General features: G+C 38.8%; 1 protein-coding gene across 84 annotated transcripts in view, besides 4 other annotated features; it reads left to right on the top strand.

The window, feature by feature from the left end:
- The window catches only part of COA1 (cytochrome c oxidase assembly factor 1), a 121067-nt gene that overhangs the window by 50129 nt on the left and 43379 nt on the right, over positions 1-27559 (top strand). For 18 of the 84 annotated variants that reach the window (NR_146942.2, NR_146944.2, NR_163914.1 and 15 more), the window contains one exon: positions 13673-13737. The exons of 46 other annotated variants lie outside the window; for them this stretch is intronic. The gene's annotated coding sequence lies outside the window, so the exon portion shown is untranslated. Of the gene's footprint in view, positions 1-13672; positions 13738-22125; positions 22180-23241; positions 23363-27559 lie in introns of those variants that run through there. 20 more of the 84 variants (XR_007060109.1, XR_007060095.1, XR_007060112.1 and 17 more) reach the window with 5 other exon arrangements.
- Positions 4560-4704: an enhancer, noted in NCBI's record as "145 bp enhancer 272 fragment used in the MPRA reporter construct; PK_construct_3136". NCBI's record gives its function as "activates an SV40 promoter by MPRA in HepG2 cells {active_cell/tissue: HepG2}" and the evidence as "EXISTENCE:reporter gene assay evidence [ECO:0000049][PMID:23512712]".
- Positions 4627-4637: a transcriptional cis regulatory region, noted in NCBI's record as "NFE2L2 motif; enhancer activity is reduced when this motif is scrambled". NCBI's record gives its function as "necessary for full MPRA enhancer 272 activity {active_cell/tissue: HepG2}" and the evidence as "EXISTENCE:site-directed mutagenesis evidence [ECO:0005528][PMID:23512712]".
- Positions 9493-9542: a silencer, noted in NCBI's record as "silent region_18125". NCBI's record gives its function as "represses an Ori minimal core promoter by ATAC-STARR-seq in GM12878 lymphoblastoid cells {active_cell/tissue: GM12878}" and the evidence as "EXISTENCE:reporter gene assay evidence [ECO:0000049][PMID:35858748]".
- Positions 26813-27556: an enhancer, noted in NCBI's record as "H3K27ac-H3K4me1 hESC enhancer chr7:43691438-43692181 (GRCh37/hg19 assembly coordinates)". NCBI's record gives its function as "activates a minimal SCP1, AML or CMV promoter by ChIP-STARR-seq in primed H9 embryonic stem cells {active_cell/tissue: H9 hESC(primed)}" and the evidence as "EXISTENCE:reporter gene assay evidence [ECO:0000049][PMID:30033119]".

The following is a 27559-nucleotide window of genomic DNA, read 5'->3' as shown; positions in this document are numbered from 1 at the left end:
ATAAAGATACTTTAGAGGAAATGTGGTTTCAGAACTTGCTTTTCATGCTGAGTTTTCATTCTCCTTGTACTTTTTTTTTTGTGGTAAAATATAACATAAAATTTAGCATTTTTTTTTTTTTTTTTTTTTTGCAATGGAGTTTAGCTCTTGCCCAGGCTGGAGCACAGTGCTGCGATCCCGGCTCACTGCAACCTCCGCCTCCCGAGTTCAAGTGATTCTCCTGCCTCAGCCTCCCCAGTAGCTGGGACTACAGGCGCACGCCACCATGCCCAGCTAATTTTTTGTATGGGGTTTCACCATGTTGGCCAGGCTGGTCTCGACCTCCTGACCTCAAGTAATCAACCCGCCTTGGCCTTCAGAAGTGTTGGGATTACAGGCGTGAGCCACCACGCCTGGCCCTCAAGATACTTATAAATTTTCCTTTTGATTTTTCTTTGACTTAAAGGTGGAATTGGTGGATCATATGGTAATTCTGTGTTTAATTTTTTGAGGAACTGCCATATTTTCCACAGCAGCTGCACCATGTTATATTCTCACCAGTAATGCCATAATGGTTACAGTTTCTCCACATTCTAGCCAACATTTGTTATTTTCTATTTTTTTTTAAATAATTGCCATTCTAATGGGTGTGAAGTAGTGGTGTCTTATTGTGGTTTTGATTTGTGTTTTTCTGATGATGTTGAGCATCTTTTCATATGCCTATTGGCCATTTCATATCTTCTTTGAAAAAACATCTGTTCAAATCCTCTTCCCATTTTTGAATTTGCCTATTTTTTGTTGTTGAATTTTAGGAGTTCTTTATATATTCTATATAGTAGTCCATTATCAGATGTGTGAGTTGCAAATATTTTTTCCAGTACTGTGGGTTGCCTTTTAACTCTGTTGATAGTGTTTTCAGTTTCGATGTAGTCCAGTTTTGTCTATTTTGTTCTTTTGCTGCTTGTGCTTTTGATATCATATCCAAGTAATCATTGCCAAATCAAATGTGACAGAACTTTCCCCATATGTTTTCTTCTAAGAGTGTTATACTTTTAGCCCTAATGTTTATGTATTTGATCCATTTTGAGTTAATTTTTGTGTATGTTGTAAGCTAAGGGTCCAACTTCATACTTTTGCATGTGGATATTTATTTTCCCAGTGTTATTTGTTGAATTCTCTTTTTAGTTTTTACTTGGTAATTTCTTACTATCTTGTAATTTTTCAGTTCTTTTGAAAAGATGTTTTAAAATACTTTATACAAATTACTAAGTTGTTTTCAACAGGAAGGTTCATCTCTCAAACCCAACTCACTGTTATTAGTAATAGGAAAAATTTAGTGTTTCAAATCAACTTGATGAGAACACATGTGCTACCTGAATCCTCTAGGAGGGAAATTGCCTGTAGTCAGTGTTGTTAGTTTTTAAATACTGTTTGGTTGCAATTTTCATGGGAAAAAGGTACAGCTCATTAGCACATATCTGTATCTATATATGTATATATTTTGTATAACTAAATTCAGTAGGCTGAATTTCATCTTAGATTATAAACCTTTTTAAGTATTAAAAGACTTGTTAGAGGAGCAAATTACAATTTTTTTTTTTTTTTTTTTTTTTTTAAGACAGAGCCTCCCTTTCTCACCCAGGCTAGAGTGCAGTGGTATATGATCTTGGCTCACTGCAACCTCCTTCTCCTAGATTCAAGCGATTCTCTTGCCTCAGCCTCCTGAGTAGCTGAGATTACAGGCATGCACCACCACACCCAGCTAATTTTTGTATTTTTAGTAGAGGTGGGGTTTCACCATGTTGGCCAGGCTGATTTCGAACTCCTGACTTCAGGTGATCCACCCTTCTTGGCCTCCCAAAGTGCTGGGATTACAGGCGTGAGCCACTGAGCCCAGCTACAGAACAAAGATACAATTTTTTGTCAAGGATATGGGAATCATTAAAGCATTCCTGTTTCTCTCTTTTATTTGGCAAACCTCTGTTTTATTATCCCAAAACTTACTAAATAATAATTTTTCCTTTTTTGGTCATTAAATAAGTTCATACACCACATATATTAAATAAACGGTGTTAGAGTTTGTCCTTCCTTTTATGTTGTTAACTGAAATGGGTTTCTTTCCCAGATGTTTTAAAAGAGCATTTGTTGAGGAATAATGTAGTTTTTAAAGACTCCACAGTTTCTTTACCAATGCTGTAAAAGTTATGTTTAGAAAGAATTGAGTATTTTTCTCTATAGTATTTCCATGAACTTTCTTCTAATATTCAACATGAGAAATCTGAAAATGCTTACAAGAAAAACATATAGAAAGCAAAGAATTCTTAAGGCCAAGAAAGTGGAACATTAAGCATTTTGATCTGTTAGGCATCGTACAAAGGATGAAGAGACCCACCCCAAGGGGACTTAACAGTTGGCAAGGACAACCATAGTATCATAAATAAATTAAGCTAGAAAAAATACTAATGCATACTGTACCTCTATTATTTTAAGAGTGTAGAGCTTTCTTACACAATTCTTAGTGATAAATTCTCTTTGCTACCATTGACCATATAGTTTAAAATTTTCAGTTATTTTTTTCAGCCAACTTTGGATGTGTTCTGAAGTTTTTTTTTTTAAATTGACACATATTAATTGTACATATTTATGGGGTACAATGTGATATTTTGATACATGTGTACAATGTGTAATGATCAAGCCATGGTAATTAGCATATCCATCATCTAAAACACATCATTTCTTTTTGTTGGGAACATTCAGTATCCTCTTTTTTGCTGTTTGAAACTATATATTATGTTACCTATAATCATCCTACTGTGCTTTAGAACACTAGAACACTAGAATCTTCTGTTCTACTTTTTACTTATATGAGATCAACTTTTTTTAGCTTCTGCACATGAGTGAAGATGTGGTGGTGAACTTTCTGTCCTAGCCTATTGCACTTAATGTCTTCTAGTTCCATCTGTGTTGCTGTGAATGACAGGATTTCATTCTTTTTTTGTGGCTGAATAGTATTCTATTGCGTATATATACCACATTTTCTTTACCCATTATTCTGTTGTTGGACACTAGGTTGATTCCATATCTTGGCTATTGTGAATAGTGCTGCAGTAAACCTTATTTCTTTTTATTGTTTGTAAGTTTTTCACCCAGTAGGAAATCTGTAAGGCTTAGGTCTTCTATTTAAAATGTCACCTATTTAATCATGTTTAATTAGGTTGATGGAGGGGCAACTTTCCTATTTTTAAAATTTTGAAAACAAAGTGGATACTAATCGTACTTTCTTAAAATGGTATGCTGCTAACATTTTAAATTTAATGTTTTAAGTTGTATTTCTTTTACGAGATTTCTTTATTAGTAGCTACTTTGTTTATGAGGGAGCAGGGATAGGATTCCCATAAGTGAGAATAAGAAGCAGTTATCACCGATGGGTAGTAATTTTTAGGGGTCTGTTAAGGGTCTCTTAATATTAAAGGAATCAGAATAATACCATAATTCTTTTATTTAAATAGTACAAGTGAGCCATTGATTAACATCTGGCTTAGATGTTAATCTAGTGTTAGAATTAGATGTTAGATGTTAGAATTCAGTATAGGATCCCTTGATAAGATTTTTTAATGTAAGTTCTCTTGAACCAGTAGCACCTTTTTTCCCTTCAAAGTGTAATCTTGACATCTCTCTACAATTCAGAGTAGTGAATGGTCCTCAGGTGTTTAGCAGGTAATTTGTTACATGTAAAAATTAAAGTTTGTAATTAATATACCTCTATGCTACAAATTAGGGTGGATTTACACTTACTCTTTTTTTATTTTATTATTATTATACTTTAAGTTTTAGGGTACATGTGCACAATGTGCAGGTTTGTTACATATGTATACATGTGCCATGTTGGTGTGCTGCACCCATTAACTCGTCATTTAGCATTAGGTATATCTCCTAATGCTATCCCTCCCCCCTGCCCCCACCCCACAACAGTCCCTGGTGTGTGATGTTCCCCTTCCTGTGTGATGTTCCCCTTCCTGTGTCCATGTGTTCTCATTGTTCAATTCCCACCTATGAGTGAGAACACACGATGTTTGGTTTTTTGTTCTTGGGATAGTTTGCTGAGAATGATGGTTTCCAGTTTCATCCATGTCCCTACAAAGGACATGAAGTCTTCATTTTTTATGGCTGCATAGTATTCCATGGTGTATATGTGCCACATTTTCTTAATCCAGTCTATCGTTGTTGGACATTTGGGTTGGTTCCAAGTCTTTGCTATTGCTTGAAATAGTTTTGACATGTTTCCTTGAGCAGAGGAGAAAGTGATGGTGTTACAGTGAGTGCACTTATTTATTCTATAGCCTGACAGAGTATTTGTGATTGTAAATGTCATCTGTTTGTGTTGGGGAAGAACAAAAAATGAAGGGCTACTCCTGTGTTCAGGGTTTCTAAGAAAAACACAAAGTGTAATATCTGTTGAAAACAAACTTGGATGATGACTTTTAACCTTTAAAATTACCTTCAGCCAAGCACGTCTATCAACTTTACCAGCTGTTTTGAAAATACCTAATACCTGTGCCATGGTTCAGCTGTGAAGAGGACAGAGTTGGTTTGAATAAGAGTAGTTATAGGAAGTTTGTCCTTAAAAGTCCTGAAGATAAGTCTTGATGCTGAGTCATACATATTTACTCCCTCTGTGACTAACTGAATAAACTCAATTCATCAAGGAAATCGTGTCCTTGACTCAGGTCCATTTGTCACAAATCACACCCTCCAACTTTAGGATTACATCAGACTAAAATTATGGACAAAGCAAGTTGCTATGTTAATTCTTTTCTAACACAAGGAGTGGTTTATCATCACATTGCCCACAGTAATATCATTGCAGTTTTATATGTTTAGGGTGATTTCTCCAACTCTTCCTCAAAATTATAGAGTTTTATAAAGCCATTTTCATTTTTGGAGCAAGAAAGAAGTAAGCTTTGTTGTGTATTAGATGCTTACCACTTGCCAAACGTTGTATTATATGGAACATGAGACAAGTAACACACAGTTTCTACTTGCAGGCAAACAGGACAATATAACACATGAAACAGAATGAAAGTTTACTCAGAGTTGAATTTTAAGAATAGTTTTGATTTTTATCAAAGACCATCTTAGTTATTTATATGTGTTGAAGGTTTATAATCTGTAAATCTGAAGTGTTGGAGCTATTGGGTGGGGGAGAAAGAAGACTTAAAAATTCTACTTAGGAAGCTATTTGTAAACTCCCTTTTTTGTTTTTAACTTTTAGGTTGAGGGGTACATGTGCAGGTTTGTTATATAGGTAGATTTTGTGTCACAGGGGTTGGATGTACAGATTATTTTGCCACCTACGTAATAAGCATAGAACCTGATAGGTAGTTTTTCTGTCCTTACCTTCCTCCCTCCCTCCCTCCACCTTTAAGTAGGTCCTGGTGTCTGTTGTGCCTTTCTTTGTGTCTATACATATCCAATGTTTAGCTCCTACTTAGAAGAGAGAACCTGTGGTATTTGGTTTCCTGTTCCTGTGTTAATTCACTTAGGATAATGGCCTCCAGGTCCATCTGTGTTGCTGCAAAGGACATGATCTTGTTCTTTTTTATGGCTACATATTATTCCATGGTGTATATATACCACATTTTCTTTATCCATTCCACCATTGGTGGGCATTTAGGTTGATTCCATGTCTTTGCTATTGTGAATAGTGCAGTGATGAACATACGTGTGCATGTGTCTTTATGGAAGAGCAATTTTTATACCTTTGGGTATATACGCAATAATGAGATTGCTGGGTCAAATGGTAATTCTGCTTTGCGTTCTTTGAGAAATTGCCAAACTGCTTTCCACAATGGCTGAACTAATTTACATTCCTACTAGCAGTATGTAAGTGTTCCCTTTTCTCCGCAACCTTGCCAGCATCTGTTATTTTTTGACTTTTTAATAATAGCCATTTTCACTGCTGTGAGATGGTATCTCATTGTGGTTTTCATTTGCATTTATCTCATGATTAGTGATGTGGAACTTTTTTTCATATGCTTCTTGGCCACTTACATGTCTTCTTTTGAAAAGTGTCTGTTCATGTCCTTTGCCCACTTTTTAATGGGGTTGTTTATTGATTTAAGTTGCTTATAGATTCTGGATATTAGACCGTTGTTGGATGCATAATTTGCACATATTTTCTTCTGTAGGTTGTCTGTTTACTCTGTTGATAGTTTCTTTGCTGCACAGAAGCTCTGAAGCTTAATTAGATCTCACTTGTCAATTTTTGCTTTTGTTACAATTGCCTTTGGCATCTTCATGAAATCTTTGCCGTGTCCTATGTCCAGAATGTATTTCCTAGGTTATCTTCCAGAGTTTTTTTAGTTTTAGGTTTTACATCTAAGTCTTTAGTCCATCTTGAGTTGATTTTTGTATATGGTGTAAGGAAGGAGTCCAGTTTCAATCTTCTGTATATGGCTAGCCCATTATTTCAGCACCATTAATTGAACAGGGAGTCCTTTCCCCATTCTTTGTTTTTGTTAACTTTATCAAAGATTAGATGGTTGTAGGTGTGCGGCATTATTTCTGGGTTCCCTGTTCTGTTCCATTGGTATATGTGTCTGTTTCCTTCTTTCTGTCTCTCTCTCTTTTTTTTTTTTTTTTGGTTTGAGATGGAGCCTCGCTCTGTTGTCAGGCTGGAGTGCAGTGGCGTGATCTTGGCTCACTGCAACCTCTGCCTCCTGGGTTCAAGTGATTCTCCTGCCTCAGCTTCCTGAGTAGCTGGGACTACAGGTGTGCACCACCATGCCCAGCTAATTTTTGTATTTTTAGTAGAGATGGGGTTTCACCATGTTGGCCAGGATGGTCTCCATCTCTTGAACTCGTGATCTGCCCGCCTTGGCCTCCCAAAGTGTTGGGATTACAGGCGTGAGCCACTGTGCCTGGCCTGTTGAGGGTTTTTAATATGAAGGGATGTTGAATTTTATTGAAAGCCTTTGAGTTTGGGGATGATCATGTGGTTTTTGTTTTTATTTCTGTTTATGTGATGAATCACATTTATTGATTTGCATATATTGAACCAACCTTGCATCCCAGGAATAAAGCCTACTGATGGTGGTGGGTTAGCTTTGGATGTGCTGCTAGATTCGATTCGCTAGTATTTTATTGAGGATTTTTGCATCTGTGTTCATCAGGGATCTTGGCCTGCAGTTTTCTTACTGTGTCTCTGCCAGATTTTGGTATCAGAATGATGCTGGACTCAAATAATGAGTTAGGGAGGAGTCCATCCTTCAATTTTTTCAAACAATTTCGGTAGTATTGTTCCATACTAGCTCTTCTTTGTATGGGGTTGTTTTTGCATGTTGAATTGTTTCAATTTCTTACAGATTCTGGTTATTGGACCTTTGTTGGATGCATAGTGTATTAGTCTGTTCTCATGCTGCTATGAAGAAATACCCAAAACTGGGTAATTTATAAAGAAAAGAGGTTTCATTTACTCACAGTTCCACGTGGCTTGGGAGGCCTCAGGAAACTTAGAATCATGGCAGAAGGCACTTCTTCACAGGGCAGCAGGAGAGAGAATGAGTGCAAGCAGTGGAAATGGCAGACGCTTATAAAACCACCAGATCTCATGAGACTCACTATCACGAGAACAGCATGGGGGAAACTGCCCTGTGATCTGATTACCTCCACCTGGTCTTGCCCTTGACACATGTGTATTACAGTCCAAGATGAGGTTTTGGGTGGAGACACAGCCAAACCATATCACGTAGTTTGCAAATATTTTTTCTCGTTGTAGAAAAATATTTATCTCATGGCCTGCAGCCATGAGCATGGAGTGTTTTTCCATTTGTTTGTGTCATCTCTGATTTCTTTGAGCAGTATGTTTTGTAGTTCTCCTTGTAGAGACTTTAACCTCCTTCATTAGATATATTCCTAGATACCTTCTTTATTTTTTCGTGGCCATTATAAATGGGATTCTTTGTTCATTTTTAATTGGGTTGTCTTTTAATTATTGAGTTAACAATAGTTCTTTATATGTATTCTAGATACAAGTCCATTGCCAAATATATGATTTGCTTTTTTTTTTTCCGTTTCTGTGGGTTGTTTTCACTTTCTTCATGGTGTCACAAGTATTTTTAATGTTGTTAAAGTCCAATTTATCTATTTGTTTTTTGTCACTTGTGCTTTTGGTGTTATATCAAGGAACGATTGTCTAATCCAAGCTAATGAAGACTTATTCTCATGTTTCTTCTAGGAGTTTTAGAATTTAGTGCTTACATGTAGGTCTGTGATTCATTTTCAGTTGATTTTTGTGTATGGTGTTAGGAAGGGTTCCAACTTCATTTATTATTTTGCATGTGGATATCCAGTTGTCTCAGCATCATATGTTGAAAAGACTATTCATTCTTTCTCTATTTTATTGTCTTGGTACTCCTGTTGAAAATCAAATGACCTTGGATAAAAGGGTTTACTTCTGAACTCTCATCAGATGTTTTTAAATGGCAGTTTTAATTTTAATAAATTTACTGATAATTTATTGGAGAAATGATTATGAAACACATCCTGTGAGCCAGGCACTACCTTAGCTTGCAGAGTTATGGCAGTAAACAAGAGAGAGACTCCCTTGACCTTGCAGATTACATTTTAGTGGAGAATGAAAAGATATGTGAAGAATATAAAACACTTGGGAACATTAATTAGAGAAGGATAAAAGTATATGTTTGTGGGCATTACATTGTTTTCTTCACATAGCCCTCTATGTCTCTTTTAGTGCATTTAGCTCTTCCTGCCATGTCTATAGTTAATATTTTTATATGCATGTGTAATCTACCCGACTAGGCTAAACACTTCTTCAGGTCAAGGTCTGTCTTTGCCAGTCTCTCCCATCTAGATATAGTACGTGTTTAGTGGGTATGTGATGAATGAATAAATAGATTAATTACTTTTGGGGACTGAGTTTATGATGAAAATTTTTTTTTTTTTAGACCAAGTCTCACCCTGTTGCTCAGGCTGTAGTGCAGTGGTGCAGTCTCGGCTCACTGCAGCCTCTGCCTCCCAGGTTCAGGTGATTCTTCTGCCTTAGTCTCCCAAATAGCTGGGACTACAGGTACCCACCACCACACCCAGTTAATTTTTTTCTGTATTTTTAGTAGAGATCATGTTTCACCATGTTGGCCAGGCTGGTCTTGAACTCCTGATCTCAAGTGATCCTTCTGCCTCGGCCTCCCAAAGTGCTGGGATTACAGGCGTGAACCACTGTGCCTGGCCTGAATGTTTTATACACATCCATTAATATATGCATAAACCTTTAAAATATCCATGTTATTCAGAGCTGTTACAATAGTTTGGAAATAAGAGTGGAATCCTTTATATTTGTGTTACTCTAGGTTACACTTCTTTTTTTATCTAGAATCTCAAGCTAAGTCTCCCTGCTTCAGCCCAGATTTCTATTTGGTACTTAACCTCAGCCAGGGCCCCGCTTTCCTTTCCTTCCTCACTCAAGTAATTTCAGCCCTCATTCTGTCCATAATGAGTCACTGAGCACCTCTCTCATCTGTTTCCGTCAGGGAGTGAACCAATATTTTAAATTTTAACCCAAGAACAGAAACCTGGGCAAGTCCTGGGTAGGGTAAAGTTATTTGATGTGATGGTTTTTTTTTTTTAATTTTTTTTTGGTTTTAAGGAGTGAAAAGTTTAATAGGCAAGAAAGAAGGAAGGAAGAAGAAAACAGCTCCCCTGTACAAAGATAAAGGGAGGGGGCGATTCGAACAAAGAGAAAACCCTGTGTGCGTCAGAAAAGTGGCTGCTTATATGAGGAGGCTAGAGGAGGTGGTGCCTGATTTGCATAGCGCTCAGGGGATTGGTTTGACCAGGCATGTCACTCACGTAGCCCGCGGAAAAAACTGGCCCTCCCACCCTAGCTTTTTAATATGCAAATGCAGGGTGCCATGATGCTCTACACATATGGGGATATGTGGGGGCGGCCGTGTTGCCAGGCACCTGTGAGGCGAGGGGAAGAAGGTGGCAGGAATCACCATGTTTGGGTGGACCCAGTTTCTAATGGCCTGTATTTGCATATCAAAGGTTGCTGACTCGGCTCTAAGAGCTGGGGTTTGCTAGACAAGAAACGTTTCTGGAGCCGCTTTAAAGGAAATGAAAACTTCCCCAAGGACCCCTTTTCCTAGCTGCCTAAAATAATTTCTTAATAAACTCCTATAACATCCCCCCATGTGGAGATGTCACCATAACTGCTCTTAAGGGGTTTTGGGTGATGACTCTTTCTGGCTATTTCCTGCTGAGAAGGGGCATCGAATGGGGAACAGCAGCTAGGGCTTCTCCTGGGGTTGATCTAAGGGTCCTTGGAAGAAAGGTGTGTTCCTGTGTGGTTTAGTTTGCAGCACTATTTGGAGTTTGATTGCTTCTAGGTGAGAGGAAACAATTCAAGTTATAGTATTGAGTATACAGGGTCCAAATATTAATACAAGACATAAGTTCTCTGTCCAATATTTCAGTTAGAAGGTGCTACTCTGTATAACCCTATTGCAAATAGTAGAGTGAGTATAGCAGTTCCCACAAGTGTGGTATAGTAGATAATTTTCATCTAAAATTTTACTTGCCAAGATATTTGGGGATTTATGAAGTTCCTTGGTTTTATTTCCCAAACAAAGAAACCTCAGGGTTATGGGCACCCTACTCACTTTCATTACCTGGCAGAATTTGCAGGATAATTGCCCAGAACCAGCATATTGATCCAGATTTTTATGTTATCCATCCCATTTTGTTTCATCCAAGCTGTAGGAGATCGCCACTTGATTCACAGGAATAAGCAGGGTTAGTCTAAAATGTAGGCAAAAAGCTTAAAAACAATTAGACTAGGATTTAATGACAAATGTATGATAAGCTTTGGAGCACAATTTCTCTCTCCAGTCCTCATTTTTTGTAAAAACAAATTATGATAGGACCGTGTGTGTTGTTTGTAGAATAAATTTTAGTCTTATACTTGGCCTGATTATTTGCATAAAGTGCAGCAAGAGTGGTTATTTCTACATAGGCCTTTTGGATTGGCTTTGATGGAACTCTGTTCCACAGGAATCTCAGATAAGACCTTTAAAGCTGAGCCCAGCCATCCACATGGGTTTGTATCCTCAAATACCTGTGAGTTGGGTGATCTCCTCTTGAGGTCCCAAGATAAACTTGGAGCTGCTGGACCTGTTAGAAAGTGACATTCTTTACTGACGACAGGTTAAGATCTCTGTTCATGGACTGTGTAGACAAGGTATGAGGCCAGTACTCCCCAAGGGGCTTTTATTGGCTCTGCATGTCAAGCTTGATTCCTTAAAGGGAAACACACCCTTTCAGTCAAAGCCTTGGTAAAATAACCAGTTTTACCAATTGTGTCCTGTCGACAAAGAAAAATGGATTCTTATTGCACTGATGGAAACAATTATATTGCTGTAAGTTAAGAGTACTCACAGATAGTTTCCAAATTCTGGAGGAACCAGGCAGAGAAAAAGAAACATGCTCCAAATTTTGTTCACAGGAGCATACCTTATTCAATTATTAAAGGCCATAAATAGTTAAAATAAGTTTCCTGGACTCTGAAAAACAAAACAAGGATCAGCAATATTGCAAGCGAAAGTCAAAAAGGTGGCTTTAACTTTCTGAGTCCAGTCCATTTAATTAGCTCTTGTTTTGCTTGATATTTGTGAACATGTCAGTTCTTTGAGTCCTGTATGTTCTTCCTCTATTCCAGTGTTAACAATCTTCAAGGCTATTAAGAATCTGCATTTGAGAACATCTGTTAAAGTTCTTAATATGGCTTGATTATAAACCGTCTTTTGAGAAGGAACAAAGCAAGACAATTGTCTGTGAATGACAAAATTTCCAGGATACAGTTAAAAACATGTCAGACAAAAGTTTATTTATCTCTGTGGTTTACAATAACTTTACCCTTAATTATGATTGATAGCATATACTTAGACGTTAGAATTTTAGAAATCCCATTCAATTTGGGAACATATATTAGTATTCACCAAAATATAACTTAAAGAAGATTGGAAATATTTTGGCAATCTCATGTGACTAAACATGTCAAATAATCTTTTTTACCTCTTTTCTGAATGTTTCAGGGACCTTCTGAACCATCCAAAAAGCCAGGCATCAGGAAGGACAGTTTTGAAACTTGAAGTTTGATTTTGGGAGGCCTGTTAAATGTTAGAGGTTTAGAACATTTGATGTTATGAAATAGAATTCCAGATTGCCAAATGATGACTCAAAAGGCAAAAACCTTTCATTAGCCTTTACCATGACATGGAAATCCTGTTCAAAGCCAAAGTTTACCCTTGCATTAATTTATTAATGTTAACCCCAATTTGTTTCTATGAAATCTTATAGATCATTGCTTCTAATCATAACCAATTTGACTGGGAGGTGAAATTTTCACAAGCCTTTTATAACCCTTTTACTAAAGGGCAGATTAGTGTCTTAAGACCTGCTTGCCATGGTTTTATTTCAATGTCCAATTTGTGAAAAGACCATATAATACCCTTTTGAGTTTAATTAATATTCACTGTTAACTTTTAGCAACTTTTATTTTTGGTGAAAAATCTGGTTAGTAAGCAGTTTTAATTATATACTTGGTGTGGATCCTAGGACCCAGAGAGAAATGCAGATAAAAGTTTGACTTTTCAGCATCCAGCTCTATATGTCCCAGCCTTACCTATCTGTAAAGCAGGCAGTATACAATCTTGGAATGTTTAGCAAACCTAGTATCTAAGTTGTATGATTTAGACCACCTATTTGCATTTTGACGACACTTGCATTTTACCAATAATTCTTAAGACTGTTTTTATTTCTTGAAGTCATGTGAACTAAAAAATATTTAAGTGCTTATTTTTCTTTAAGCCAATTAGAGCTCTTTTTATAGACATTACACACAACACATATATAGCAACACAAACATATAGAAGATTGAGCCCTTGTTAAGATTTTTCATTTGCCAGTTTCTTAATAGGGTTACTGGCTTTAGGGTGGAGCCCTTAGAGAAACAAGGCCAGGTAGCATGCATTTTTTAGGGCCTAATAAGCAGGTACAGCTGAAGGCAAAGACAGATCCCTAAAATTAAGGGTGCCATTTTATACTGGATCTTGGGTCCGTATAAACAGTGTAGTGCTTCTACCATGCTCTTCATTGCAAGGCAACCCAAAGCCAATTGGCTTATTTTGTAATTAGCCCATGTGATGGTTATTTTTGTGTGTCAGCTTTAGTATAAGTATATAACTTAAAGAAGATTGAACATCTTAAGTGGCTAAAAGATGAGCTAAAAGATGTCCAGATGGCTGGTTAAACACAATTTCTGGAGGTATCTGTGAGGGTATTTTCAGAAGAGATTAGCATTTGAATCAGTAGACTGAAGATCTCCCTCACCAATGAGGTGGGTATCATGCAGCACATTGAGGGTCCCAAAAGAACAAAAAGGCAAAAGAAAGGACAAATTTACTCTGTCTGTGATACGATTTGGCTCTGTGTCCCCACCCAAATCTCATTTTGAATTGTAATACCCACGTGTGGAGGGAGGGAGGTGATTGGATCATGGTGGCAGTTTCCTAGATGCTGTTCTTGTGATAGTGAGAGAGTTCTCAGGAGATCTGATGGTTTTATAAATGGCTTTCCTCTGGGCTTTTCACTTTCTCTCCTGCCTGCCGCCATGAAGAGGTGCCTGCTTCCCCTTCTGCCATGATTGGAAGTTTCCTGAGGCCTCCCCAGCCATGTGGAACTGTGAGTCAACTAAACTTCATTTGTTTATAATTATTCAGTCTCAGGTGGTATCTTTATAGCAGTGTGAGAACGAATTAATACACTCTGCTTGAGCTGGGTTTTGCAGAACTCTTCTTAAGTTCTGTGAAACCACACATCTGAATAGGGCACTGCTTTTGTACTTTTTCCTGAAAAGTACAGAAGAGTGATGTATGTGAATGTTTACCTAAGCAATACCTTTCCTGTTTATAGCAGAAGAAGCCATTGTATTTTCTTTAAAGCATGGAATAGTAATGATTTATTTTCCTCACAACTGCAGATCCTTGGATTAATAGTTGATTTTCTTAATTTTGACGCTCTATACTGCTCGTTAAATACTGTGTATAATTTGGGATGTTGAGCAGTATGTTTTGTGATCTCATAAGACATCAGATTTAGATTGAAAGCTCAAATCTTTTCAGGAAAATGTCTGTTTTTTTCCCCATTTTATTGAAGTTGTAGTTCACAGTAGTAATAACGGTGTTATAGTGGATGAAATTTTTTTTTCCACCAAAAGCCATTAACATGTAAAACACATTAATGTTTTTTGAAATGAGCAATTCTCCTATTTTTCATATATTTCTTTTTTATTTTGAGACAGAGTTTCAAAATAATTTTGAAATGAGCAATTCACCTATTTGACTACACAGACTTCCAGTATGCTTGCATAAAAGGAAAAGTCATGTGAGAACATCGGAATTTAGAAGTACTTGAAAGTAAAAGACTGAAGACATAAAGGAAATGTAAGCAGGATGATAAATGTCAGTTGATTTAAACTGACAGGAGCTCTGTTCTGCTTTATAGCATATTCTTGTAGGGAGAGCTGATCCTAGCTGATGGCTAGCTCTGGAGCAGGCTTGTTGAAGCTGTTCATAAATGTATTTATGTTTTTAGAGACAGTATCTCACACTGTCACCCAGACTGGAGTATGGTGGCATGATTATGGTTCACTGAAGCCTTGAACCCCTGGGCTCAAGTGACCCTCCTACTTTAGGCTCCCAAATAGCTGGCATTACAGCAGTGTGCCACCTGTTCATAAATTTAGAACAATATTTAGTGTCAAGTTAGTGATTTTTCTAAGGGTGGAACAGGGATTACTACAAGGTGAACATGCTTCTGTAATCGCCACACAGGTCAGGAAATAAAACGTTATTTATATTCTATATTTCTTTATGTGATGTCTAGACACTATCTTCATATTCCCCAGAGGTAACTACTGTCCTGATTTAAAACACCATAGATTTTATGTGATTTAAAAATATATGGACACAGTATTATTTAGCCTAAAAAAGGAAGGGAATTTGGTCACCTTGATACTATGCGAAGTGAAATAAGCCATAACAAAAAGACAAATAATGGAGCCGGGTGTGGTGTTGCATGCCTGTAATCCCAGCCACTTGGAAGACTGAGGCAGGAGTATTGCTTGAACCTAGAAATTAGAGGCAGTAGTATGCCATGATCACAGCAGTTAATAGCTATTACAATCCAGCCTGGGCAATATAGCAAGACTCTCTCTCTCTCTCTCTCTCTCTCTCTTTCTAAAGACAAATACTAAATGATTCCATTTTTTAAAAAAAATTTATTTTTTGAGACAGGGTCTCTGTCACCCAGGCTGGAGTAAAGTGGCACGATCTTGGCTCACTGCAGCCTCTGACTCCTGGGCTTAAGGGATCATCCATTTTTCTCTTTTTAGTAGAGATGGGGTTTCACCATGTTGCCCAGACTGGTCTCAAACTCCTGAGCTCAAGCCATCTGCCTGCCTTGGCCGCCCAAAGTGTTGGGATTACAGGTGTGGCCACTGTGCCTGGCCTAAATGATTCCATTTAAATGAGGTATCTAAAGTAGTAAAATTCATAGAAGATATTAATAAAATGGTAGTTGCTGGGGCTTGGGGGATGGGGAAATGGAGAGTTGATGGTCAGTGGGTTTTAGGTTTTTTTTTGTGTGTGTGTTTTTTTTTTTTTTTTTTTTTTGAGATAGGGTCTTTATGTCGCAGAGGCTGGAGTGGAGTGGCATGATCATGGTTCACTGTAGTCTCAAACTCTTGGGCTCAAGTGATCCTCTTGCCCTGCCTCAGCCTCCTCAGTAGCTGGGACCACAGGCACGAGCCCGTAAGTTTTTGTCTTTAGTTTTTGATGTAGTAAATCTGTGTTGAAATTCAGAGTTATCGCAGATATCAAGAATTAGTATAAATCTAAATAATTAAGGCAGAGTGGTATTGTCACAAGGATTGACAAATAGATCAGTGGCATAGACTAGACTTGTATTAGGCTGTTTTTATTTTGCTATGAAGGAATACCTGAGATTGGGTAATTTATAAAGAAAAGAAGTTTAATTGGCTCATTATTCTGCAGGCTGTACAGGTGTGGTGCCAGCATCTGCTCAGCTTCTGGCAGGGGCCTCAGGGAGCTTTTACTCATGGCAGAAGGTGAAGTGGGACCAGGTACATCATATGGCAAGAGCAGGAGCGAGAGAGAGCTGGAGGAGGTGCCACATACTTGAAACAACCAGATCTCGCAAGAACTCACTATTGTGAAGATAGCACCAAGAGGATGGTGCCAACTCATTCAAGAGAAATCCACCCCAATCATCCAGTCACCTCCCACCAAGCCCCACCTCCAACATTGGGGATTACATTTAAACATGAGATTTTGGGGGACAAATACCCAAACTATATCAAGACTTTAGAAACAGATCCATACTGGTATGGCACTTGATTTATGACAAAAATAGTAATAACAGAGCAGTTGAGATAGGCCTGAGTTTTGAGACCTTGGGTCTCTTGGTTCCTTAGAGAGGCAATTCTCAAATATTTTGGCGTCAGGGCCCCTTTACATTCTGTTGTTTATGTGGGTTCTATCTATTGCTATTACTGTATTAGAAATTAAAACTGAGAACTGAAAAAATATTTATTCATTTTGAGAAAATAAACCCAGGTAACATTAACATAAATGGCATATCTTTATGAAAATTTTAAGATTTAGTGAGAATAACATTGTTTTACATTATTTCAAAAATTCTTTAATGTCTGGCTTGATAGAAGACAGATGTACCTGCTTCTGCATTCAATCTGTTGCAATATATTTTTATGGTTGAAATATATGAAAATAGGCCAGATGCAGTGGCTCACGCCTGTAATCCCAGCACTTTGGGAGGCTGAGGTGGATGGATCACGAGGTCAGGAGTTCAAGACCAGCTGGCCAACGTAGTGAAACCCCGTCTCTACTAAAAATACAAAAAAATTTAGCTGGGCGTGGTGGCAGGTGCCTGTAGTCCCAGCTATTTGGGAGGCTGAGGCAGGAGAATTGCTTGAACCTGGGAGGCGGAGGTTGCAGTGAGCCAGGATCGTGCCACTGCACTCCAGCCTGGGTGACACAGCGAGACTCTGTCTCAAAATAAAAAAGAAATATATGAAAATAATCTGTCCTCAAATAGATGCGTAGTTGGAAAAGGGAGGAGCATGTTCATAGCTTTTTCATGTTAATAGCCTTTTCAGATAATTGTAGATCTTCTTTGATACAACACCAAAACTTGGCAAGTGATAATTTCTTAAAGGTTAATTGTCATATGTAATCTGAAGGCTGATCAGTAAACCTTTTTGTATTCTGTTACATTAAAATTAATTTCTCTTGCATGATTTTGAAATACCATGCCTTGGTCATTTAAAAAATACTGATTTTTACTAACTTATGCAGATCATTAAAATGGTAAAACATTTTATTATAAATAACAAAAATTCATATTCATTACTTTCACCATGAATCTCATTAGCCAAAGTCTTATTTATTTGGTGGTAGATACAGTTTTTCCTTTTCAGGACAAGTAACATATTAGTGTTTTTTTGAAAATGGTTTTGACCTTGTGTTCACCCTGGAATGGTCTCAAGGCCCTCCAGAGGTACAAGGACCACACTCCAAGAGTGATTGAAGTTAGATAGAAACCCTGGATTGTGATCTAGGAAACTGGTATTTTCTTTCTGGAAATGTCTCTTTTTTTTTTTTTTGAGATGGAGTCTCGCTCTATCGCCCAGGCTGGAGTGCGGTGGCGCGATCTCGGCTCACACTGCAAGCTCCGCCTCCCGGGTTCACGCCATTCTCCTGCCTCAGCCTCCCCAGTAGCTGGGACTACAGGCGCCCGCCACCACGCCTGGCTAATTTTTTGTATTTTTAGTAGAGACGGGGTTTCACTGTGTTAGCCAGAATGGTTTAGATTTCCTGACCTGTGATCCGCCCGCTTTGGCCTCCCAAAGTGCTGGGATTACAGGCGTGAGCCACTGCACCCGGCCTGGAAAGGTCTGTTTCTTAGTAGAATCCCACTCTTTACCTACCACAAATCTAGTAACATCCTGTTAGATTGATGCCACAAACATTGATCTCCTATTCTATGTGTTAGATATGAGGCATTCTAAAATGGAAAACCCAATCCTAGCCTTAAAGTAGTTAAATGTCTATTGAGAATTAGGTAATTTAACAGCCATAGCATACTAAAGTAACTATTGTGAAAGTATAGGTGAAAGAAAATTAAGTTTGCCTTGGTAAGCCAAGGACCTCTTCTAACACTAAAATTAGCATTTGAGCTGAGACTTAAAGGGTGGTTAGGGTTGCCAGGGTGGACAGGAAGTGCCAGGGCCTGTGGCACTTACCATGTTCTGCTCAGTGTAACTCAGGAGGGTGGTTGGGATTTAAGAATGTGGTGAGGAAACTGGGCAGTAAGACCGTGTAATGCAAAGAAGCTTAGATTTTATTCTGAATAGGATGGGGAGCCATTGAAGAATGGGATACAATCAGTTTTCTGTATTAGAAGGATTCTAGACTAGAGAGGAATGAGGCCAAAGGCAGAGCAGTCTTGATAACCCCTTGGTTGAAAGAGATACTTAGGGGCCAAATTAGGGCATTTGGAGGATAAAGACAAGGTGGAAAATATCCAAAGATATTTAGGAAACAGATTGTATGGGTTTGAGGGGGCCTGATTAGATTGGGGGTAATTTAGGTGAGGAGCATAGGCCCTGGAGTCAGGCAGACCTGGGCTCAAATCCTGACTCTGTCACTTCTTAAAGGAGTGGCTCTCACAATTAACCCAAATCTCAGCTTCTTCACTTACAAAATAGGGAGAGTAATTCCTGCTTTATAAGACCCTTAAGAAGATTTGATAAGATACATGCAAAGCTCTTTCTTGCATGTGAGTAAACATATGGAAGCCACTTTTGTTTTTATGAGGATGACTCCCAGGTATCTGATTTAGGCACCTGGGTTGGTTCCGTTCACCAAGTAGGGAATGCAGGAAGGGGAGACCTGGTGTGGAGTGGAGGAGGGTCAGGGCAGGAGCTCACATGGGGACTTGTGGAAGTATTTACTAGGAATTTCAAGTGCAGAAGGGACACCTGGCCTGGAGATAGAGATGTGGGGATTATTTTAGTAGACCTAGATTCATGCCCTTGAATGAGATGTTCTTGGGGTCGGGGAGTAGGAAAGGGTATATAGAGTGTATCAATTTGCTAGGTCCGTCATTAACAAAATAGCACAGACTGGGTGGTTTAAATGACAGGAATATATTTTCTCACAGGTCTGGAGGTAGAAGTTGAAGATGAAGGTGTTGTCAGGGTTGGTTTCCTCTGAGGCCTTTTGCCTTGGCTTGTAGATGCCACCCTCTCCTTTTGTCTTAACACAGTCTTTTCTCTGTATGTGTGTATGTCTGAGTCCAGATTTCTTATCGGATTAAGATGCACCCTGAAAATCTCATATTAATTTAATTACCTCTTTAAAGACCTTTTTTCCAGATACTGTGATGTTCTGAGGACCTGGGAATTAGGGCTTCAACATATGAATTTTGGGAGGACACAATTCAGCCCCTAATATAGAATGGGGGGCTATGTAAAACAGGCAGGGGAGTGGAGAGGACTCTCCAGAGAAATAGAAAGCAAACACCTGAGTCTGTGAGAATAAAGGGAGGACTCTAGGGAGGGAAGAGTCAATAGCAAACCTCCCAGATTCCTTTTGTAGTCACTGATACCAAATTGTTTTATTTTTATAAATGTTTTTTTCTAAAATGGAGGCTCTTAATAGGAATGCTGAAGTAAATGTTTAATAGGGTTTGCCCTACTCATATTCATTTGCAAAATGGTTATGAATCAGAGTCCATTCCATGAAGTTTTTATGCCAGAAAGTACTGAATACCTTCTTGCTGTGGTTTAAAATCTACAAGAGAATGGCCTTGAAATGTATTTGTTCAAGCAGATGTCATGACTAATGATTTAGAAATCATGGTTTTCTATTTAAAACTTTCCATCAAGACTCTTTATCATTACTAAGTTCCAACTGCATGGTAGTTTTCAATGCTCAAGTTTTTTGTAAGGAGGTTTAAGGATAATATTGATAAATTCAGAAATCACTCTGCTATGCGCCTTGTCCTTCACCCTTTCCCCAATTTCTGTTAATAATTTGTCAACAAGTCCTGTTAATTCTGCTTCATATCTCAAGTGGATTTACTTCTTTGCAGGTCTGCTGCTACCAGCTAGTCCAAGCCACCACCAGCTCTGCCATGGAGCCTTTTAATTGGACTCCCTGCTTCCATTCTTGTCCTTTCTAGAGAAATCTTTAACAAAAAGCAAGTCATACTGTGTCATTTCCTGATTGAAACCTTCAGCATCTTCTCTTACACTTTGAGTAAAATCCAGACTCCCTACCATACCTACAAAACCTGCATGATGAAGACCCTGCCCTCTTGCCTGGCCTCCTCTTCCACACCTCATTCACGAGCCTGCCTTCTGCTTCTTGAAGATACCGAGCCTGTGGCTGCCTCAGGGCCTTGGCGTGTTTGGCGTGCCCTTCCCCTGGTTTTCAAATGATCCCTCCAGTCTCACATGTCACCTTGGCAGAGGTGCCGTTCTTCACTGCCACATTAAAATTGCGCTTCCCCCTTTCATATTCTAGTATGTCATGATATTTATTTGTTTGCTTATTTTTGAGAGAGTCTTCACATGGCATTTCCCACTTGAATATTTCAAGGTTTTGATAGTGAACACTGGCGAGAGGTAGGAGTGAAATTAGAGTAGATTTTAGAGGGAGAACAACCCTTACTATGTTATTTGGTCTTAAGAAAGTACAGTTTAGAAAACAATTCGATTTCATTCATTATTTGGGTTTTATAATTCATTATGAATATTAGCATATGTTTTATCAGGTGTTTATGTTATATCTTAGTTTCGAGAGGTTTGATTTGTTCTCAGATGACATTTTATCACATCTTTGAGCTAATTTCTTTTCAGTGGTAAATTTTTTTTTTTTGAGACAGTCTCGCTGTGTCGCCCAGGCTGGAGTGCAGTGGCGCAATCTCGGCTCACTGCAGGCTCTGCCTCTCAAGTTCACGCCATTCTCCTGCCTCCGCCTCCCGGTGCCCGCCACCATGCTGGGCTAATTTTTTGTATTTTTAGTAGAGACGAGGTTTCACTGTGTTAGCCAGGATGGTCTCGATCTCCTGACCCCGTGATCCACCCGCCTCGGCCTCCCAAAGTGCTGGGATTACAAGCGTGAGCCACAGCGCCGGGCCTTCAGCAGTAACTTTTTTAAAAAAAATAAATAAAATAGACTTAATTTTTTTATTTTAATTTTTATTTTTTGACACAGAGTCATACTCTGTCTCTCAGGCTGAAGTACAGTGGCAGGATCTTGGCTCACTGCAACCTCCGCCTCTCGTTGTTTTAATTTGCAATTTCCTAATAAACATATAATGTTGAGCACCTTTCATATGCTTATTTGCCTTCTCTGTATCTTTGGTGAGATGTTTGTTCAGCATTTTTGCCCATTTTCAAATTAAGTTGTTCATTTTCTTATTGTTGAATTTTACAAGTTCTTTGCATATTTTGGGTAACAATTCTTTTATCAGATGTCTTTAGTAAATATTTTCTCCCAGTCTGTGGCTTTTCTTCTTATTTTCTTAACACCCTATTTTTTTTTTAAAGTACTTATTACTAACTGAAGTGATCTTATTTGTTTACTGTTTGTCTCCTCACACTACAGCACAGGGTAAGGTCCATAAATGACCTGTCTGTTTTGTTCTCTTTTTTGTTTCTAGTGCCTAGCACGGCGCCTGGTTTTGGATGCAGTTGGCAAATATTTGTTGATTGAATGAATGGGTAACAACTGTTAACATTTTCAGTTTGTTTTATTCTCATTGAAAATGGCATCAAACTGATTTGAGTTCTTCCATCTTCTAATTTAAAACTTAAATTTCAGATTTTTACCATAATTTTCAAAATTAGGGATAATGGTTAGCCACTTGCAGTAGTATGAGAAGATAGTTCCACTATGGTTCAGATGAAGTTGATTTAAGATATGTAATTGCTAATCTATACACTTGCTTTGCCCTCTCCAGAGTGGTTCAGATTTACTTTCCCGGAGTAGTCACAGGACTGGGCAGTGAAAACAGGTTGGTTTATGTCAGTCCCACAAAGCTTTATGGGATGGGTGCTACCTGCTAGTGTTTACACATATATCGCCACAGATAACACATACACACATGTTGTACTTTGCAAGGTAAAAACTATATTACTCAAATTCTCTGTTCTTGACTGTTTTTTTTAATTTTTATTTTATATTTTATTTTATTTCTTTTTGAGATAGGGTCTCACTGTGTTGCCCAGGCTGGTCTTGAACTCCTGGACTCAAACAGTCCTCCTGCCTTGGACTCCCAAAGTGCTGGGATTACAGGCGTGAGCCACCGCAACCGGCCTTGACTGCTCTTTTGTTAGCTGGATTTGCTAAAACTGGAAAGCGATCTGTGGTCTCCCTCTCTAGTTCTTTTCTTTTCTTTTCTTTTCTTTTTTAATATTTGCGGTAGGTGGTAGTTTTTGGCTTTATTTTGGTATAATGATATTTGCTATGTTATGTTAATAACTACTGTATTATTGTTTATCTTTGTCTCAAATACTTTTTGTTTTTTTGTTTTTTGAGATGGAATCTCGCTCTGTAGCCATGCTGGAGTGCAGCAGCACGATTTTGGCTCACTGCAAACCTCTGCCTCTTGGGTTCAAGTGATTTCTCCTGCCTCAGCCTCCCGAGTAGCTGGGATTAGGGCTGCGCCACCATGCCCAGCCAATTTTTATATTTTTAGTAGAGACAGGGTTTCACCATGTTGGCCAGGATGGTCTCGATCTCTTGACCTCGTGATCCGCCTGCCTTGGCCTCCCAAAATGCTGGGATTACAGGCATGAGCCACCATGCCTGGCCTATGTTTTGTCTTAAATTCAACTCTTTGAATATTTCTGCCCTCCTTGTGTTTGTTTGAATGTTCCAAGTCTTCTATTTTTAAGTCTTTCTTTGCTTTTTAAATTGCTGCTCTTAAAAGTAACATATCTGAAAGAGGTTTTTAAAAATCCTTTTAGAAGATATTGTAAAAGGTATTTCCATTTTCAATGGCTGCATAACAAACCTTGTCAAAATTTAGTAGCTTACAACTAAAATAATTTTATTATCTTTCATGATTCCGTAGGTTGACTTGGATCAGCTGATGGTTCTTTTGTCCCATGGATGTTCTGCTGGTACTGCAGTCATCTGGTAGCCCACTTAAACTAGAATGTCCATGACAGCTCATTCACATGGCTAGTGCCTTGGTAGGGATGACTGGGTTCAACTGGAATATTGGAACAGTGGGGCATCTTCTCCCTCCCACCCATCTTAGGCCTCTTCCTCACAAAGTGGCTTCTTACGTGGTCTTTTTATGTAGCAAGAACCCCACTAGCAGGATAACCATAATTCTTATATAGTGGCTTAGGCTTCCCAAGAGTGCCAGAGTGCAAACTGCCAAGCCTCCTTAAAGTGGAGGCATGGAACAGTTCCAACATCAATTCTGCCTCCTCCTGTTGGTTGAAGCGAGTCATACAGCCAGTTGGATTAATTGGGGGAAGATACAACTATCAGGTGGTGTGGTTCACTGGGGCTGTCTTTACCTACATTTTATATGTTAATACTGGAGTTTTTAATTTTTTTTGAGATGGAAAATGTCTCAAAGGCTGGAGTGCAGTGGCGCAATCTCAGCTCACTGCAAACTCTGACTCCAGGATTCAAACGATTCTTCCGCCTCAGCCTCCTGAGTAGCTGGGATTACAGGTGATTACAGGGATTACACCACCATGCCCGGTTGATGTTATATTTTTAGTAGAGATGGGGGTTTCACCATGTTGGCCAGGCTGGTCTCGAACTCCTGACCTTAAGTGATCTGCCTGCCTCGGCCTCCCAAAGTGCTGGGATTGCAGGCGTGAGCCAACATGCCCGGCAATATCTGGAATTTTAGGCTGTATTGTAAATTTAAATATTGTATGTCTTTTTAAAAACTATGCCACTATGCCCGGCTAATATTTTGTATTTTTAGTAGAGATGGGGTACTAGTACTTGGCAGGAGGATTACTGGAGGCTAGGAATTGAAGACCAGCCTGGGCACCATAGTGAGATTCCATCTAAAATACTAAAAATAATTAAAATAATAAAAAGTAAAATAACAAAACACTAGATGTTTCTGTTCATTTTATAAGTAAACAATTATTTGGATTAATTGGTCTCAGTGCATGCTGCTGGTCCTAATATGCCATTATTTTTAAGGAATTTGGATTTTTTTTCAATAAGTTGCAATATGTTTTCAAATAATGTTTTCAGGATGTCTATGTAGATTATAGAATATCTTGAGTTTGTTCCAAATTTATAATGTCTTCCTCTTCACACAGTTTGGTTGGGCCTTTATTCTCAGGAATTTGTAGTTACAGAGAAGAAGCCTAAGGCTACTCCAATATGTCATCCTTTGTTGGTATACCTTTTGGGAAAATGGTATGTAAAATTTTACCAGGAGGTGTTGGTGAACGGAACTGGAACATGTTCTACATTTTTGTCTTTTTTCAAGTTTTCTTTTAGTATCATTTTTGTTTTATCTCATCTTCCATTTACTCTAGTTATTTAACATCAGAAGCAATGATCTGTTGAACAGATCTTAGTTTCTAAATCTCCACTTGCCATTTTCTTGCTCTTCATTTTTATATTCTTGTTCTTTCATTATGCATTTGGATTTTTTTTTCAATAACTTCCTGAATATGACTTCATTATGAATTTGGCTTTCTGCTATGTTAATTCTAGTTTGTGAGTTTCCTTGACATCACTCCTTATTTGAGTTTCTTCCCTTTCCTTCTTTAGCGTGTAGTGTCCTTTGTTCCCATCACGTGTGGTTCTTAACAGGCAGTCTTTCTACAACCAATTAAGTACCCAAAGTGATATTTTTCTCCATATTCTTTTATTTCTTAGAGTGAGTTTGTTATTGCACCGCTGCCAATCCTGCCTCTCCTTACTGCTGGGTTTACTTAGGATTGTAGTCTCTGAATGGATATAGAAACAGAGTGGGGTGGGGAAATGACAATGGCTGTCTCTGGAAGCTGGACTCATACCCAGTTTGGGGCTGGCCAGCCTGTTTCCTGATTGCTACAAACCCAGAAACTTTGAGCTGGGTGTGGAGAGAGGTGAAGGGCCGAACCCTTTCTCCACAGGCTTTCTGGCCATCTCTGCCAGGGTTCATTTGTCCATGGACATGTTTCTCTTTCTCTCTTCACTTACATTGTGGTTAGTGGAAATTTCCTCAGACTTTTGCAACTTGTTATGGTTCCAAGCAGGCCCTACTTTCTGTCTTTTCTTGTGTGTATCTTTATAGGTATTTTAAATGGAATTTCTGAAGTCATATCAGGAAGTGGTAGCTTGATACCCTCTTAAACTAAATGGCATCTTCCGTCATTTTACAGTTTATTAATCTTTAAAAAAAATCATTAATCCTTCCCATTGGCACAGGGACCCTCTCTCCAGGCAGTCTTGGTCTTCATGGGATGAGTAGCAGACATCTCTGATATTAGGTTGGTGCAAAAGTAATTGTGGTTTTCGCCATTACTTTCAGTGGTGAAAACCACAATTACTTTTGTGCCAACCTGTAGAAAGGGTGTTGGACAGCCTTTTATTAACATTCTTAACTCAGCTTAACAAAGGGAGCTTGCCTCGTGATTAAGAATAAAGGGTTACGGTAAGCCTTTCCTCTACAAGCATTCAAGTTATTCCATGATTTCAGAGCCAAAATGTGGTTAAAAAGTCAGCGCTAACATTTGTATACTTAATTTTTAAAATGCTTAATTTCATAGTCTTTTACTTAAAAAAACTTTTATCATGTTTACTCACATGCTTTTATCATTTTGCTTTTTAGTACTATCCTTTTGTCTCCCTTACCTTAAATTTGAGACATTTCATTCTTCAAAAAAGTTTAGCCTTCTTTTGTTTTGTTTTTGCCGTTCATACTTTTTTTTTGTTTGTTTGAGACGGAGTGTCGCTTTGTCGCCCAGGCTGGAGTGCAGTGGCGCAATCTCGGCTCACCGCAAGCTCCACCTCCCGGGTTCACGCCATTCTCCTGCCTCAGCCTCCCGAGTAGCTGGGACTACGGGTGCCCGCCACTATGCCTGGCTAATTTTTTGTATTTTTAGTAGAGACGGGGTTTCACCACGTTAGCCAGGATGGTCTCGATCTCCTGACCTCGTGATCCACCCGCCTCGGCCTCCCAAAGTGCTGGGATTACAGGTGTGAGCCACATACTTCTTTTTCTTAAATGCCAAAGTTTTAATCTTTATTTTTGGCCTTTTGGATTTTGTTTCTTATTCTTTTTCATTTTAATTTATATTGCCTTACTTTTTTCATCTCTATTGTCTTAAGCATAATTCTCTGTACTATCTTTCCACTGTCCCCCCACCCCCTCCCACCCTGACCCTTGACAACGGTTCGATTTTTAAAGGCTGGATGATATGTAATCCCCAGAGTGATAGTAGCAGTGGGCCATGCCCATTCAACAATAGGGAAGAACCATCTCTCCATTTCCTCCCAGTAGTCTCTAAGTGATTTTGTATCTCCTTTTTTTACCTTGTTCCCTTAAATTATAACTTGGGGATATATTGATTAAAACTATTTCCCAGAGTAGCAGTGATTTGCTTCTGGCAGATGGAAATGGCTTTTGGACAGCACATCCTACCTGTGTGAGAAGCTGATTCTTCTGAAATCCATGGTCTTGGCTCAGTGGAGAGACCATGCCCTCTGGAGTCAGACAGATGCATGTAATAGTTCTGATAGGGAATAGCTGCATGACCATAAGCAAGTTTCAGAACCTTTCTTTCTTAAGGCTTTTTTTCTAGTTCAGAAAGGCAAAAATAATATCTACCTTTCATGATTGTTTTAAGAACCAGGAGTAGTGCATATCAAACATCTTGCATGGTGCCTGGTCCGTAGTAGTTACCCAGATGTAGGACAAGCCAGGCCAGCCATGTTACCCAGAGGAACAGAGGTGAAGTGAATAGGTTATGCTTGGCAAAGCGCTGATTTAGAGGACTCTGGGTGTTAATAGGTCTGCTGGGAATGTCACATGGCCTGTGTTCATAGCCAGGCTTTTGGCCCTGCTCCTGCTTCAGGTACCTGTAATGCTGCTTTATGTGCTTTGTTCCCAGTATACCACTGGTTCCCAAGCCCGGCTGCAGATTGCGACTACTTGAGAAGGTTAAAACCCACCATTGCCTGGGTCTTTCCGCTGTCAATTCTATTTTAATTGGTCTGGGTGTGGCCTGGACATCTGTCTTGTTTGTTTGTTTTGAAACAGGGCCTCGCTCTGTTGCCCAGGCTGGAGTGCAGGGGCATGGTCTCGGCTCATGGCAACCTCCACCTCCTGGGCTCAAGCCATCCTCCTGCCTCAGCCTCCTGAGTAGCTGGGACCACAGGTGCATGCAACTACATCTGACTGATTTTTGTATTTT

The sequence above is a fragment of the Homo sapiens genome, chromosome 7 (genome assembly GCF_000001405.40).
Source record: "Homo sapiens chromosome 7, GRCh38.p14 Primary Assembly".
Taxonomy (NCBI): Eukaryota; Metazoa; Chordata; class Mammalia; order Primates; family Hominidae; genus Homo; species Homo sapiens.
The sequence above is the reverse complement of the archived record's forward strand: the minus strand, read 5'-3'. Positions and strand labels throughout refer to the sequence as shown.